The 18,458-nt window shown below is 38.2% G+C and overlaps 1 protein-coding gene across 56 annotated transcripts in view; it reads right to left on the bottom strand.

Moving 5' to 3' along the window:
* Positions 1-18,458, bottom strand: part of NRXN3 (neurexin 3) — a 1,697,919-nt gene that overhangs the window by 386,274 nt on the left and 1,293,187 nt on the right. For all 56 annotated transcript variants that reach the window (NR_158973.1, NR_158975.1, NR_158974.1 and 53 more), the window contains one exon: positions 14,616-14,797. Coding sequence is in view for 49 of the 56 variants with exons in the window: in XM_011537363.2 (XP_011535665.1) it covers positions 14,616-14,797 (182 nt within the window). In the remaining 7 variants the exon portion in view is untranslated. The remainder of the gene's footprint in view (positions 1-14,615; positions 14,798-18,458) is intronic.

The raw sequence follows: 18,458 nt of genomic DNA, 5'->3' as shown, positions 1-18,458 counted from the left end.
CCTAATTGTAGCAGCTAAGATTGGCCTTTTTGAGATGTCATTTCAGGCTTTTGCACTTCTGACAATCAGATGTCCCCCACCTGGGCCCACAACTCTTGACTCAACCAGTCCTGTGGCCCCCACCCAGAAGCAGACTCAGTGCATAAGGACCATTTTCCAGATCCCATAATTGCATCCCTAACCAATCAGCAGCACCCATCCCCCAGACCCCTACCTGCCGAGCTGTCTTGGAAAAACCCTAGCCTCCAAATTTTCAAGGAGACTGATTTGAGTGATAATCAAACTTTGGTCTCCCATTTAGCCAGCTCTACATGTATTAAACTCTTTCTCTACTGCAATTCACCTGTCTTGATAAATTGGCTCCATCTGGGCAGTGGACAAACAGAACCCACTGGGTTGTTACATTCCCATAAAATTACAATACTGCATTTTTACTGTGCTTTTTTATTTAGACATGTTTAGCTACACACATACCACTGCATTACAATTGCCTACAGTATTCGTCACAGGAACACGCTGTGCAGGTTTATAGCCTGGATGCAATAGGCTATACCATATAGCTAGGAGTGTAGTAGGCTATAACATCTAGGTTTGTGTAAGTACACTCTATGATGTTCACACAACAATAAGATTGCCTGGCAGGGCATTTCCCAGAACATATCCTCCTCATTAAGTGACTCGTGAGCATATTAGAATGAAAGAGATTAAAGTGGAAATTTGGCAAAGAAAGAAAAATACAAAGATGAAAACAAAAGTTTGAAGGAGATCCTCCCTGCCTGTTAACTAGTTAATTAATAAAATATATATGATAGCACATTTTCACAAAATTCTGCAAATTGAAGTTCTGATTGCTTGTGCCCATTAAGGACTCCCCCACTAGAATGTAAGTACCATGAGGACAGGGAGTTTGTCTATCCTTTTCACTCTTGGATCCCAAGCACTTAGAACTACACTTGACAGACAGTAGGAGGTGGTTAAGAGAAAAGTTGTTTTCACGAAAGTAAGTGTATTAGTCCTTTCTGGCATTGATATAAAGAAATACCTGAGAGTGGGTAATTTATAAGAAAAGGGGTTTAATTGGCTCATGGTTCCATAGGGTATATAGGAAGCATGGCTGGGGAGGCCTCAGGAAACTTACAATCATGGCAGGAGGCAAAGGGGAAGCTAGCACATCTTACATGTCTGGAGCAAGAGGAAGAGAGAGGGGAAGGTGCTACACACTTTTACACAACCAGATCTTATGAGAACTCTATCACAAGGACAGCACTAGGGGGACGGTGCTAAACCATTAAAAACCACTCCCATGATCCAACCACCTCCCTCCAAGGCCCACCTCCAATACTGGGGATTACAATTGAACAGGACATTTGGATGGGGACACGGATCCAAGCCATAACATTAGGTTACTCATTTCTGCTGGCCTGGCTAATTTTAATTTGGAAATTCTATTCTTCCCACCTGCATCTTACGTAAGTGTATCATGTTGTAGTTTTTGCTATATGCTCCTGTATCTTTTCTCAACTAAACCTCAGGGAGATTTTTGTCTTCTTTTAAGAGGCGGCTGTGCTTTGTGGATCATTCATTGTGCATTCATGGTATTTAGGAAAACCACGTCATTCACACGTCACACCAAAACTCATTTTCCTCTTTCACGCTCTAGTATTGAATTTAAGCTTTGCTGTTTAGCCATGCAAAAAAACCAGCTCCAGTACTGCTGATATAAGTAGCAAACATGAAAACCTGTTAACCTTAGGAATTAGGCATCAGGTAAGGGACAATTTAAATGGAATCTGCTCCCACTTCAATAAATGTGATTTTCAGTGTGAAGGTCTACCTTTCAAGTATTTACTATACTCTGCTGCTAGACATTAGAAGCTAACAGACCAAGGGATGACAGGCCATGGTCGCTGTGAAGACACCCACATCTGGATTTAAATTACAAATATAGAAAATTAAATACTGACTCCAGTAGGAATAAATGGGTTTTTGTGTTATTTGAGATCATTTAGCGTTTTTAATCAAGAGTATTTGAGGACTTCTGATATGGCATTTATCATACACCGAAAGATGAGAATGCATTATCCAATAATCTTTTCTTTGATACACTAAATTTGGAAGTGTTTTTATTGAGATTTGGGAACTAAAGTTACCTCTAAAACACTTATTCTACCGCACTGCATTCAAAACCTCAGATTAGTCTCCAGGCCAATCTTTTCATTTTGCATAGGAGTATTTAAGAAAGTGGCTTGGGGGTAATTAGGTGCCTTAACGTCATTGAGAAAAACAAATACTGGGAAGCAAAAAATGTAATGTAAAATGAGTTTCTTTGAATCCAAAAAGAAAGTGACTTATTTTAAGTTATGTATGCTGCTTTAGCCAAAATTCTGTGTTCCATTCTCTAGTCCTGTTTATCATTCTTAACTGTGGATTTAAATAAATATTACAGGTCCTGCTAAATTCAACACATCCAACATATATTACATATATATTATATTATATTGAATAGAAAATTATGAAAAGCAGTATATATCTATATCTATGACACTGAAAACAAACATATCAATGATTAAGTCTAAGTCCTCTTTTCTTTCCTTAACACCTTTAACAAATGGTTACTTAATCCTCTTAGGCTTAATTTTTTACTTCATAAAATAGAGGTAATGCCACTAGTTTAACAGTGTTGTCAGGACCAAATGGGCTGATAGACACAAAATGGCTAACATACTGCCTGGACAATTAAAAAAACAGCAAACACAGATGTGATTACAAAAAGATACACTCCACAGATAAGAATATGGGTTTTTAGCCATGAAAAGTCAGCCAGCGGAATTATTTTCAAAAAAGTTTAGTAACCTAAGTACTACCTTTTGCACTTAATAAAGGGCTAGATAATTTCATAACCATTTAGTAACGTTTGTAGCTATCCAAGCTAAGATAATGATAAGGGTAATCAGATTCCATGCCTCATTGCACATGATCACTAGGATCAGGGGATTTGTTCTATTTAGGAAACTGCAGTATGATTTAAATCCGAATTGCCCTTTCCAAACTGAAGCTCCAAAAGGTGAGGTGCCAAGAGCTGAGAGATGAACAAGATAAGGACATCATTTGAGAACCACAACAGCTTACAGGGTCCAGCAGTTGAGCCACTCACATTTGGGCTCTGATCTGCCACTTGCCTGGTTGCTAATCTTCCTATTGGAAACTACAACCATCTCAGCATCTCTTTGGTCTTCATTTCCAGGTCTCCAATCACCATCTCCTTAGGTACCAAGAGCTGTGCTGAGTGGTAGGTATACCAATATTGATATAAAAACGACTTTATTTATTTTGTAGGACTTTTCAATGATGACACGGCATGCTCACTTGCATTCTGTCATTGGATTTTTCCCACAATATTACGAGGGTGGCAGAATAGTAGCTACACCTCTACCATTTACATAGGGTAACTGCTAATTGGTGGCAGCTCTCTAGGAGTAGATGCTGGGTCCTCTGGCTCAAAGTTAATGATGCCCGTGACAGAGAAGAAATGCAGAATACTGGTAAGAGGACTGAAGTGGCAAAGATTACACCATAATAAATACCAATAAAGATGAAGAAGACATCTCTGTAAACTGATTTCAGATGAAAGAGGCCTAACAGGTATAGAAAAAACAGCTCTGGAACAACTTGTGTTTGGAAGTCTCTCATTTGTTTTGATTTCTGTAAAACTTCACTATCTAGGTTATCCCCTACCCTCTAGCCTTTCCTTTTTAGTTCTCTTCCTTTCCTCCTTTATCTTGTATATGTATATATTTAATATACATTATATATATTTGTATAAATATATAAAATAATATATATTTAAATATATAAAAATATGTATATATTTCCCAAGTTCCTATTCATCTCCCTTGAGACATTAGCACTCCTTAAACCTTCCACTGTCACTGCCAAGCTGTGAATTCTCTAGGCCCCCACCTCTAGCCCTTATCTCTCCTCTGAGTTCATCATGTATTTCCAATTGGAAATTTCAATAGCCTGGCTCTTGGATGCCTTATGTTTTGCATCACTAAAGTCAAACTCTTATCTGTTTTACTTATCTGTCCCCTGTTTTGTTTTTGGTAATGAAATCACAACCTTCCCAATCTAGACATTTCTCAGTTCTCTCCTTTTTAATCCAACCTGCTGACAACACCTGCCGATTCAATCTCTGAACTGTTCTTTGGTTTTATCCTCATTACCTTCCTATATGCATCATCATAGAATAAGTCTTTAAAGACGTTTCTCTAGAAACACTTACTCAAGACCCTGCTGTTTTCCTTGAACCCACTGAACAACATTCTTTTAACAGAGCCAAAATAATCTCCCTAAAAATTAAGTGCTGGGCATTTCATCTTCTTCTAAAAAAATCTTTAAATGTCTTCCTTTTGCTTTCAGAAACAATCGATCATTGGTATAAAACTCAAATCTTCTACACTATGTCCCTAAAGTACCTGGGAAGAAAACACAAGAACATGGCTATCATTAATGGAACATCCACTATGTACCAGATAATTCACTGGGCATTTTTCCATAGGTTATAAATATTCACAGAGCTACAAATTGGCATTATTGCCATCTGCATTTTACGGAGTAGTCAAATAATTCATCCGAGGCTACAGAACTAGTTGGAGGCAGAACTAGACCTTGAATCAGAGACCAATTGCCCCTAAATCATATGTTCTTTGTGCTAATCCATATTACCTGCCTCTTTTCTTATGCCATTCATTACGGTCCAATTGAATTCATGAATTTGAGAACACATCCTGTATTTCCTTTGATATGACACTCATGCTGGTATCTTCATCAGGTATGCTCTTTCTTCAGATTCCACTAGTCAAAATCTGTCCCATCCCATCTATGTACATTAAAAAAAAAAATCTCAGCAACCAGCAGTATTTTTACCTTCTTTGGTATATAGCTGATTCTGTTTTTAAAAAGATTCGTACATATGATTTTCATTCCCCTCTACCCCCCGGCTAGATATTAACTTTCTTCACATCTCCAACAATCCCAAGTAAATTGCTGTTTCATAAGTATGAATTGAGTTAAAATTATTACCACTATGCTTTCTACTCTAAAACTTTCATTAGGGGTGTAATAGTAATTAAGGGTCAGAATTGCATTTGAAAGCCCATTCAGCTGTTTATTAGTAGTGCTATCTTGGGAAAATGCTTTAGCTTCTTCAAACTTTAGTTGCCCCAATTATAAAATGAGGATATTAATAGTGACTACCTCACTGAGTGGTCATGAGCTCATTATAAGACAGTGTAAACAAAGTTCTTGCACAGTGTCTGGTACCTGGTATTTTGTCAATCAATATTAGCGGAAAGTGATAGTAATGGTATCAATGTAAGATGGTCTCTGAAACACATGCTCCCGAGTAAATGTAGGAAGTAATAATCTATGTCATTAAATTACCTGCCATTTTACAGAAATGGAGGAGGAAAAATAAACTGAATTATAAGAGGTTAACTAAGGACTCAAAAATAGAATATGAGCCTTAATGACAACTCATTTCCTGTCATCCTGAGTATGAATTGATTTCAGGATGAAGGTTAGCTTGGTCGTATCAACAGGGCCTATCTAAATATCTTTAAGTGATTCTAGGCTCCAGAGGTGTCATCGCAGGCCAGGAAATGACAGGTCTGGCTGTCGGTACTATCTGTGAGGCTAATGTAGTTATACAGTTCCCTCTGACGTCTGTCCCTGAAACACTAACAAGTTGCAACAGCAGCAGTGACAGCACCAGGATCTAAGAAACTGATTCTGTGGAGTGGGTGGCTAATGAATTCCCCCATCAATACACTGAGCTCCTATGCCTTCTGAATACAGCTAGGGATCTAAAATCCATCATCTATAGCTTCAGGGAGTCAATGAGTTATTTCTTGCCCTGTTGCACTGAACAATACCCCAGGAGTAATGACAAGGAGCAGTGTAAGCGGTGGGTCAATGAGATAATTCATCCAACTGATGGTGTTAAGGGAGGCTTGCCATTAAGTCCTGTGAGCCCCAGCATTCACGTGATGGCACTTAGAGTTTGCCTTGCTTGTTGCATTTTAGATTCATATATCTAAAAAGCTTCTGCTATTCAGAACTTATTCAGCTAGCTTGATAACTGCAATAACCCAGTATATGTGCCACCCAGCTGTCTTTAAATCAGTAATATCCCAGCTCCTTAGAATTTTATATTGCTTCATTTCAAATTTCAGAGGCCTGATTAAAGTTTATTCATTGCTTAGGAAAATAAAATATAACAAGTTTTTGAGTTAAAATGAGTTAGTTGAAGAAAAATCTTTGAGTACCAATAATATCAAAATCTATCCATGATTGAAAGCTCACTATATGCCAGGAGTTGTGCAAGAGTTGTATATACATCACCTCATAATGAGTAGAAAACCTAATTTCTTGTTTTTGTAATTGTCGTGGCCTCTCAAGCCTGTTTATGCTATGCAAGCCAAGGTTGGTCACAGTACCCTCAACACACAGCACTTTTCCTGACACATAATAAAAACTCAATTTATATATATATAAAATGAATGATGCTCAGGAGCTAAATTCTCTTCATCTTAGTTTTTCAAAATTCTTATTTGTATGCATTGAGGATTCTGAAACATAACTGTCATTAACTAACAGTCTAAGGGCTCTTGTATGAACCATAAATGAGAAAGATATAGCCATTTGGCCTTTCCTTCTCATAATTTCCTATCAGCCATAACCTATTTTCCACACACTTTGTCAGCTTGATTTTTATGATTGCATTATTGTACATTTCATTTGCATAGTAAATTTATAATTCACTTTTCCTTCATATTTTGGGGAATCCAAATCTATGAAGTATTTCTGTTTATATTTCTGGTTTTAGGTTTCCAGTGTACTTGGTGGCAAGACCTACTTAGCTCCCCACAGTCTGGCTGTACCTCCATTAGGACTTTGGTTCTAGCAACATTTTGTGGGGGCTCTATCCCCGAGTATACGACCAAGCTCTTTGTGACTTTATCTGGTACCCAAGGAGAGTCTAAAACCATTTTGATACTAGGCCTATCTAGAAAGGTTTTGCTTTCCTACTGCTACTACTTCTATTGGTGGTGGTGATGGTCATGGCTATTGTCATCTTCTTCTTGCTCTTTTATTTTCCTTATTCTCCTCCTCCTTCCTCCTCCTCTTTCCCTCTCTTCCTTCTTCTCTTCTTTCCCTGTTTTCATGCAAAGTGGCATATTCCCATTTCCCATGGTCGATAAAATTAAAGAATAAACTTCAGGGCAAGGCAGGCGACAATTTCACTGCTGAGTCTAGAGCCCTTTGGAAGCTTATACTAAAGAGAATAGAAGCGCAATGCATTATCATCTTGTAACAGGGATAGAGACACAACGCTATATAATGAGACACCAAGGAGGCTATAGGGTCACTTATCCTATTGACCTAACCAAGGTCATGACCTAAATTCCCTCAGAGGTAACTGCTTCTTCACTTTATGCTAAAGAGATGCTCCAAAAGTCTTCATTGTGAATCTGGTTAATTCATAAAATTGACATTTGATCAGATGAAACAGAAATTAAAAAATTTTGCCTAAAAAGTCCAAGCAGACTTATACAAACAATTAAACTAAAACTTTCCTTCTATATATGTTTCTCTAATGCAGTCATCACCTCTACAGCACCCATTTTATTAGGAAAACCACCATTCTCCATTAGTGCAGTGTTTTGCTGATAATGAACAGCTTCTAAATATTTTATTTCACTTGATCTTTGAGAAAACCCTGCAACATAATATTTTATGCCCATTTATAAGAAGAGGAAGCTGAAGCTCCAAGTAGTAGAATGACTTGCTGAAAGTCACATAGCTCACTGACAGAAATGGATTGAAAAATGGAACTCAAATCCAACTTTTTTTTGGTTTCAAATTAAGCACATCTTTCTACTATGGCTTGCTGCCTCTCAAAACCATGTGTGGAATCAAAGTAAACAGATTTAGATAGAAATATCATGGGAATAATAGAGATCTGAGAAAACACACACCAGCTCCCCTGCAGAGAGCTGCCTCTAGTCCAGGTTACATAAGCAGTCACTTCATCCAATCATCACTTCTACTCCCTTCTCCCACCTTCTTCTCCGACTCTGCTGGGATAGCATGGCTAAGCTGAAAGCTGGAGAGACAATGCCCAGCAGGTCCTCTCCGTATAAGTGGCTAATGATCTGGAAAAACTCCTAAGCTCAGAAATCCCAAAGAGGTCTTTTTCACTAAGAACAAATAGCGATGGAAGGAAATACGGAGTCAACCTGCAGTGCACAGCACTCCATGGGAAACGAAATTGCATCTGTTGGATACCTCTGTTGTTTTCTTGTTCGTTCCTTTTTTATTTGCGTTACCAGTCTCAAAAACACCAACATTCTTCTGTACTCCACTGGAAAGTTCCCCAAATACAGTTCTTGACTCAAATCCAATTCTGTCACTGGCCAAACCCAGAGATGAATCTAAGCTAACAGCCACCTAACCTTACTAAGGACTATCCCAGCAGATGCTGATCGTTTACTGTAAATATCCCACATAGAGACAGCCCAAATGAAGCATCCAGGCTGGCAATTTATAAATGCAATAGATGGGAGGAACAGACCATTCATCATCATTCAGCTTTACTTCCATTTATTCTACAGGACTCTCGTTGGGTGCTATAAACTATGTAAAAACAATAATATACAAGTGAAACTTAATAAATATCCAGTTTCCCCAAATATGACACTGATAGAATATTATCAATCTGTTTTCAAAGTTCCAGTTTTTGGAAGGAGAACACTTTGCCACCGTGAAATGGGGGTCAGTCTGGACAGCAGTTCTTTGTCTGCCCCTCATCCTCGTGTATGTAACAATCTACATTTTAAGTCAGGAAGGAAATAGTTGGGGAAGGTTATAGATTCTTGTCAAACAAAACAGATATCTTAACACATAAATTTTCACTGTTCCTGAAAGGCTCATAATTAAAAAATGAATCCAAGAGGATTTACTGTAAATTACATACAGAGAGAAAGAAATTAATAGGATGTCTTTTTTACACTCAGCATTAACTACATAAAGGGAAGCTAATTATTGCCCAGTTCTCCCCGACCTTCTATTTTGCAGATGGTGAAAGAGGTTGACAAGAGTTTCATGATAGTAATAACAAGCACTTCATGCCAATCTCTTCTCTAGTCCTATTCAGTTTTTTTTCCCTGTTGTATAAATGAAGGTGAGTGTAACATGACACCGCTCCTTAAAGCCTAGATGTGGGGTCAATAGGCAGATGTCACTCGCAAGCGATAGCAGCTTTTCTCCAAAATTGAGCTTTAATTCCTCAACAATCGATTTCAATGGAAGGAAACTAACATTTGAAATAGATTTTAAAAAATTCCTCTACCCTAAGACACCCTCGCTCTACAGAATCTCATTTCATGCACATATACTTCAATAAAGATCTCTTTGCCTTTTTCAAACATGCTTAATTCAAAATTTTATTAATATAACAGTTTATAATTCATTCAGAAAATATTGCATCATGGAATGTGAACCAAAAACAAAGAAATGTTAGTTAATTTGAAGCAAGCAATTTCTAAATCATTTTTATCTCCTGGCCCTCTCTGATTTTTTAAAATGACCAAAGGCCTGTGTTGTTCAACACTTTTTGTCAAAACCTATTTAACTTTTATAAGGCCCAGATGAGTGGGAAGACTTTAGGTTTAAAAGAAAGTAGCAAGAGAAATAAGAGCCTCTGCTCCCTTGGCCAGAATGAAAGACAATCTGAGCAAATCATGAAATAGAAAAAATGTGCTCTTCAGCCATAAAAAAGAATGAAATCATGTTCTTTGCAGGGACATGGATGGAGCTGGAGGCCATCATCTTTAGCAAAGTAACACAGGAACAGAAAACCAAATACTGCATGTTCTCCCTTATAAGTGGAAGCTAAATGATGAGAACACATGGACACATAGAGGAGAACAACACACACTGGGCCTTTGGGAGGGTGGAGGGTGGGAGGAGGGAGAGGATCAAGAAAAATAACTAATGGATATTAAGCTTAATACCTGGGCGATGAAATAATCTGTACAACAAACCCCCATGACACGAGTTTACCTATGTAACAAGCCTACAAACCTGCACTTGTACCCCTGAACTTAAAATACATACATAAAAGAAGAAAAGTGCTCATAGCACTCAACTGTCTTGGTGACCCTTTCTTCATTTGCCCCAGTTACTCAATCTAGGACACAAATGCCTTCATTTTGCCCAAGTTTTCCCACTCATTTCTACCATCCCACACAACATTGCACATCCCCAAACTAGCCATGGCCACTTTTCTTCCTTTCTGTCCAACTCTCCTATCAAAACTTAAATTCTGTCACAGGAGCTGACTTTAGGCTGGTATGAGAAGGATGGCAATAAGATTGACTACTTCAGATGAATTGATAAATCATTCCAGGACTTGCAGTGCAACATGAGCTTAAGATACTGCTTTTCCAAAGAAATTTTAATACATAGGGATTTCAGGATAACAAAGGAAAAGAAATGGGAAAATTGGAGCACGTGTGGAGGAATACTGTGGAGCTTAAAGCAGATGTGATGAATGTGTAGTGCACGTTCACAAAACCTCACATCGGCACATGTGGCAGACATGACTAATGGAAGCTAGATCTCCTACCTGTGGATTTGCCCGCTGTTCTCATAAATCTTCCTGGTGTAAAGCTTGAAGAGAGAGAGTGAGGCACTGAGAATTTTCAGGCAAGATGAAGCCTATTTGCCACTCCTGCCCTGGGGCTATTCTAGAGTGGGTGCTTACCCCAGGGTCAGGCTCTCTAGTGTTCTTGGAAGAGCATTTTCTCTTCCTTCAAATAAGTCCACTTGGGGGTAAAAAGGAAATATTCCAACGACAATGTTGATGTTGCTCAAAACACTTCAGGAATTTCTAGGAATTGTCTTCTTTGAAAGTTAAAAAAATACAAACTTTCTTTGTCTCTTCTCCTTCTCCCCAACACACACACACACACACACACACACACACACACACACACACACACTCTCTCTCTCTTTCTCTCTCTCTCTCTCTCTCACACACACACACACACACTCTCTCTCTCTCTTTCTCTCTCTCTCTCACACACACACACATATACACCGCTGGCTAATTTTGGAGTTTGTACTTTGTTTTTGACCAACTTTACTAGCCTGACCACCACTCACAAGTAGCACCAAAGTACTTTAGGTTTTTATTGTTGTTGTTATTTTATAAAGAACACTCATATTCAAAGAATGAAGCTTTGCCCCCATGTAATCCCTTGTTGAAGCACATCGGTAGGCAGAGCCCTGTCCTCTTCCCTTATCCCTGGAATATATTCTGCTGCAAATATATTCTGCTGCTATGCTCTGAATATGTCTCCCAAAATTCCATGTGCTGGAAACTTGATCACCGATGCCACAGTGTTGGGAGGTATGACCTTTGGAAAGCGCTTAGGTCATGAGGGCTCTGCCTAATGCTATCCTAAAAAGGGCTTGCAAGAGTGGGTTCACTCTTTCTGCCCTTCTGCCATGTGAAAACATGGGGTTCCTCCCCTCCTGAGGATGCAGTGCTCGCCTTAGAGGTGAAGACTGGGCCCTCACAAGACACCAGACCTGCCAGTACCTTGATCTTAGACTTCCCAGCCTCCAGAACTGTGAGAAATTAATTTATGTTCCTTATAAATTACCAAATCTCAAATATTCTGTTATAGCAGTAAAAAAACTGAGAAAACCACCTGCCTTCATCTCCCCCTTGTGTCTTCTATCACTTTTTCTTTTTCCCAGGAGGTTTCTCTTCTAGGCAAACTGTAAGGAGAAATAGCATCTTCTGCCTTATGCTCAATCCCTTCCACTTTCATTAATGGCCCCAAAGCTCTTTCTCTCTTCAGTAATTTTCTTTAGTACAAGAAAACAAACCATTCAACAAACAGAACCACCTTTTACAGATTGTAAAAGTTATAAAAGTATCTTAATAAGTATTTATGGCTTTGTTTCCCTGATGTATCTACTTAAATGTCCAAAACAAAAAGCTGGTTTCATAATTAAGCCATTTAGTCTTCTACTTAGATTTCTTTACTTTCAAGTATGATGAGAAACCTGCCTTCTTCAGAGTAGACAAAGAGATAATCTGCAAGGAAATAAAATATGGCTTCAAATGACTAGACCCATGAAGGGGCCTGGTGCTCGAGAGGGCCATGAACATGTCAGGGTCACTCTAGAATCACACAGATTCCCCACAGCATAGGATCCTTTTTTCCTTTTTTCTGAAAGGGTCAGGTGACATCATTTCCTAATCTAAGATTTGGAGGAAAATCTACTGGGCTTTCACAGAACGTTTAAGCAATCGGCTGTATCACCCAAGTGTCTACAGTATCCCAGGGGGCTCTTTACATTTTGATATAAAATGTCTGGTAATTTTGCTCATACAAAGAAAATAATATTATACTATGTCAAATCTAATGGGTATGCTTATACAGAATACACACACTAATAAATGCACACAATGGATGTTACCTGAATCTCAAAGTATGTTTAGAGTATTCACTTTTCAAAGACCCCAAAGAAATGACAGAGCTTTATAATGGTATATTAAAATATACTGGAATGTTCTGGTTCCTCCTAGAAGTTACCACAATCTGCATGACAATTTTATTAAAACACTGCTAATTTCAAGTAAACCATCAGAAAATAGGAAAACCTCTCTCTTAAAAGTGGAGATGTTCTACAAAACATGAATGAGCAGGAATGGATAAAACAATAGTACACTATTTGACTCAAAAAGATGCTCATGTCTGTGCCAAATCATATTTTTCTTAGGCAGTCACAATGAACAAAAAAAGAAGATAAATCACTGTGGAAATGCAAGTGAGCTGGTAATAACAGCCTAGTTATAGCTGCCATGAAATAGTCATTAAGTTATATGTAGCATAAATCTCACAGAGTTTTGTAAATTATGGTGGTTCTTAGAGGCCAAATAAAGATAAAGTGTAGTAAGTATGGCTGCCTTTCTTTTTGCTCCTTGGCATAGCTTTTTAAAATGTGTTAGCTCAGGCTCATAGCACCATATGGTTCCTGAAGCATCTGAGAAAAAATTGAAAAGTTCACAACTCTATTCAAGACTCCTCCACCACATTTTGAAGGTGATCATCTCTAACCAGTTCTTCCTTAAGCTCCTAAGCAGAGTCTTGCCCTGATCTGGCTTATACTGGGGCTAGACCGACTTCCAGCTCAAGCCTAGGACTTTAAGCTGCTCTCATTTCCAAGGCATGCTGGAAGAGCAAGTGTCAGACATGCGCACTGCTGTGGGAGCTGGGCTTGTCATGCATGATTCCGGCCAGCCATCTCCAACTCCAGAGACCAGCAATGAAATTGTATCCTCTGCTTCTCTCTATACACCTGCACATTAGCAAAACTCTGATTCAGAGATTCCTAATCAATGTTCCTTTTCCTCCTTTTTGGAGGTTGGTAGTAATCCCCAGTTGATCTTTTTTCTTAACTGCCTTTTCCTCCTGCTATTTAAACTAAATTCTTATTGCTCCAAATTAAATCCATTCTTTCTAGCCTTGTCATTGCTAACTAATGAGAACAATTCCTCTCTTTGCTCTTGGAGACTGCACTTTGGGTACTTATGGATGAGAATCATATCTCTCTTTAGCCTACTTTCTTAACTGCAGACTGCACAGGTGATAAAATGGGTTAATTGTTGCTGTAAAAATATTTTCCATCCTTATAACAAAAGAATTTTTTCTTCTAAATCATTTTTAATTTCTTAGCCTTTGCTGTGTTCTTATGATCTACAGGGATTAAGGGTGCAGTGCTATTAAGTGCATATGTACAAGACCAAAAGCAAAATGTTGAGTATGCAATACACATGAATTACTCAACTCTTGATCACTGTTCTGTTTCCCTTTTGCCCCGCCCACTCTGGCACTCTGGTCTCAGTTTTTATCACACATTTATTACATCTCTTACAGTGATGCTTGAAGCCTAGGACAGGGGTCACTAAATTACGGCCTGCAGCTTGTTTTTATAGATGCATTTTTATTGGAATACAGTCTCATGCATTTCAAAAAAATGTATTGTCTGTGGCTGCCTTCACATTACAAAGGCAGAACTGAGTAGCTCTGAGAGAGACTATCTGACCTGCAAAGTCCAAAATATTTACTATACGTCTCTTTACAGAAGGTTTGCCAAATCCCAGCCTAGGAGATTGTTAACATTCCACTTGGCTTTGCTGCTTGCACCAGGTAAGATCCACACCAGGTAAATCTCTTAAATATACCCTAGAAGTCTGCTAAATATTCTGCCACAGGCCAAGCCACACAGTTGGGAAGGGAGCCTGCAAAGAATGAATTTCTTTTTCCTCCCTATATACATGGGGAAGAAGGAAGAGTTTTTAAGTTTTTTTCCCCCAGGAACCCTGTAAATATGATGGTTCACATCTGAAAACAATTTTTATAAGCATGTGCACCTTTGCCATATTGATCTAGAATGTTCTGCTGCGTCTACCTGAATCACTAACTCAGACCACCAGTAACATAAGAAAATCCAGGCCAAGGCCCTGTACTCACTATGTGAAGCTGGAGGAAGTCACCAAGTCCTGGAGCACTGTCGATGCGGACCAAGATGCCATCCTTCACAGTGGTGCTGAAGCCCACGGCAAGGCGGTCAGACCGCGTGCTGGGCCTGTCATTGGCTGGCCAGGTGTAGAGGATAAGCCCACCACTTTTCCCAAAGATGTACGTAGCGCCAGCTGCAAAAGCAAGGAGAGAGGGAGACATCAAGGCACTACATTGCATACAGCCAGCTGTAGCACACTGTTGAGACCCTACACAGAACAGCTGCAGAGAGGAAATGTCCCCCATGGGACAGTATTTGGTTACTGAGAGGAACGGCTCCCAAAGCTTCTGAAGGCAGCTATCACCCCAAATTAAAGATGCAGGCAGAATGAATGCATAACAAAGCAGATGTTGGTAAGAGTCGTTCTTAACATCTTAAGTTCCCGCTGCATAACGGTGGAGGGTAAATAACATCCTAAGTCTGGGAGCCTGGGTACATTGCAATAAACAACTTTCTGGTCTTCCTCAACAGTAGGCTTAATTTTGCATCTTGGCCAGGACAGGCACAAGGTAGAAAACTAGTCCCCTATCTCTTATCTATCAGCATAATCTGGTCAGTGGAGCCAGGAGCCTTACAAAACTGAAGGTAACAGAGCAGTCCAAAGGCATCATGTCTCTCCTGCTTGTACCTTCTCCCACTCCCACAGGAAAGAAAGCAGTGGCCCAAGAAAACCAAGTTATGTGACTAAATGCATTTGCCTATTTCACTATTGTGTTGCTATAAACATGGTAACAAAAATGATTTCTAGGAGTTTTTTTTTCTTTCTGAGATGGAGTCTCTCTCTGTTGCCCAGGCTGGAGTGCAGTGGCGCAACCTCGGCTCACTGCACCCTTTGCCTCCTGGGTTCAAGCAATTCTCCTGCCTTAGCTTCCCGAGTAGCTGGGACTACAGGCACGTGCCACCACGCCCGGCTAATTTTTTTGTATTTTTAGTAGAGACGGAGTTTCACCATGTTAGCCAGAATGGTCTCAATCTCCTGACCTTGTGATCTGACTGCCTTGGCCACCCAAAGTGCTGAGATTACAGGCGTGAGCCACCGTACCTGGCCTCCAGGAGTCCTTTAAAAATGGACCTTTTTTTTGTTCCCTAGTGGTGGTATTTATCTGGCATTAAATACATTTTCTTTTCCTTTTTCAAACTAAATCTTAGGAAGAAGATACAAGAAACAGAAAAAACATCACAGGATAATGAGATTTGAACATGACAAGTGGTAGTTGTCAATTATGATTAGTGGGTTTACCAGTATGTTTACTCTTTACTTGTGTTTTTACTATTATCCATATGAACTCAGGAGTTACTAAGAATATATTAATTTAGAACTACTTACAAAGCAAATGGGAATAAAAATAAAGAAAATATTTGTAATTCAGAAATTATAAAAAGTACATTTCAAGAAACACATTTTTAATTTCAGTTGGAGAAAATCATTTAGATTTGGTGACCAGAAAGGCTATGCCATTTGTTGCCTCTGTGGTTTTAGGCAAGTGGTGTTACCCATAGCGAATACTTCCACGGGTTACTCATCTCAAAATTCAGAGCACATTTGGTAACAGATTTTCTTGTGTATTTCTCAGTGACCATGTTCCAACCCTTAAAACTCTTTTAAAGCAGCATTATACAACCATTCAGATACCTTTTACATTTACTAAAAATCTCAAGCACTGGTCCGCATGTATTTCCAGAGCTAGTTTACAGAGAATATTAGGTAGAATTATGTTGACCAAAGAAGAAGTGAGTTATTCATCTTGTTGAGAAATAATAAAGTTAACTCTTGTGAGACTAGAATTAAGAATATGTGTCATATGTCATCCTTCCTAAAGCACTAAGACTCATTAAATTCTGAGGCATACAGAATCTAATTTGTCTTCTTTGAAAGGTCACTATTCTAGTTGCTCCAATTTGCTCAATTTGTATATTACATGTAGCATAACATTATTTTCCTTTTATGAATTTCTCGATCCTTAGGGGATGGTGTCTCGAAAGCCCTCTACACTCATCTGGAGGATTTGGAATTGTGGTATGCAAAGTCTATGATTAATTCTATATGCAAAACAATGTTTACTTCCTACCATCCACAAACACCCTCAAAGCTTCTTAAAATTAGAAATGTGGCTATAATGATTTACCCTTGATATCGCTCCATCTGTGAAGAATTTAAATAATTCCTCTGTAGATGGTTACAAATGTCATCACCACTCTCTTTATTCTTTATTTGGAAAACTGAAGGTTACTCAGTGATTAATGTATAGAATCACCAGAAAATGCAAATCAGCCTGTGACATTTCATGGCAATTTATAAAAATCTTTTACTTTTCTATCCTAAATATATAGTGGATTCTGCTACAGAGATAAATTCATACTCTATCAGGAAATAATTTTGTCACTACAAAAATAACAAGTCAAAAAATTGATAGCAGCATATACATGCTGCTTTACAGTTTGCAAAATATTTTCAAATTCATTTGCTGAATCTTTGCAACAATTGTATGGGATATTTTATATCTTAACACTGTTTTACAGATTTGGAAACAGAGACTCAATTATCTGATTTAAATAGTACCACTTTCAAGTCTCCAGCCTGAGCCTTCTACCTCTGAAAGCCTTTTTTCACCACATACCAATGTAATTACACAATAAACTGTATCAATAAACTACACCAATGGGGCAAACAGTTGTCTGTACTTAGTTCTTTTCACATCTTTTTATCAGACTAAAGCAGAATGAAAACAAAGTCACAGCCCCCAAATTTGGCATGTTTTCAAAAGCTTGTCTGGCCATCTCACCATATCAACAACTTTAAGCATTTTACTTGTAGTTTTCATCCACAATCCTACCAGTAATTCTCAGTGCTCCAATACAAAGGAGAAGAATATTTTAATACATAAATATATAATTTCTTATATATGGTTAGAAAGTCACAGTGGCTTTAATCTTTAAATAAACAAAAAACAAAACTTCACTATGACAATATTTGATAGGATAGACTAAAAATTTGATTTAAAATTATTTGTATTGCTTTTGTTATTCTGAATTTATGATGTCACTATGTTAGATGATTCTAACTTTATAGGTGAAGAAAGCATAAAAGATACAAAGTACCTGGCATATGATTACTTTGCTATGAAGAAAAAAATATGAAAATATCTATTCTTGGTAAAGTATTTGCTGGTAAGAGTGAATAAAGGCCCTGAATGCTCCCATAGTCCAATACTGTGGGACATTAGAGGAAGGTAATTAACAATTATAACTTTCTACTCTGATGTTGTTATTGTTTTTTCTCTTTACATTTCATGCTTTGCCATCTTGCATGGTTTTTAAAGGTAAATACATACTTCGTGTTAATTTTAATATAAAATGCCTAGAGTCCTACAGGAAACATAGAATTATTTTGTTTTACATATTCAAATAAAAAAGTTAATTGTGTTACTTTAAAATGTGGATTACAAATCAACTTCTTGGGAAAATCCTGGGAACTATAAGAACCTCCTCTTAATTCATCAAAGATTTTCATTTCTGAGGCATGCTATACCACATTACATGCTTTCTCCCCTGAGCCTCGTACTTCTGATTGCTGGTTTCTCACCGTGTTCAGTATGCTGATGCAAGATCATACTACTTATGTTTATATTCAGAATCATGTAAATTTCATCCTTGTTGGCAAAAACTGACCAATTCAACTGAAGAAAAAATTGCTATAGTAGCATTTTGGCCATTTAACACTGCAGGATTTGCAAGTTTGCAAGCAGCTGAGGTTGCTTTGCTGAGTTTTAACCAACACAGTATTCCAGGAATGA

The sequence above is a fragment of the Homo sapiens genome, chromosome 14 (assembly GCF_000001405.40).
Source record: "Homo sapiens chromosome 14, GRCh38.p14 Primary Assembly".
NCBI lineage: Eukaryota > Metazoa > Chordata > Mammalia > Primates > Hominidae > Homo > Homo sapiens.
This window is presented reverse-complemented; position numbering and strand designations above follow the sequence as displayed.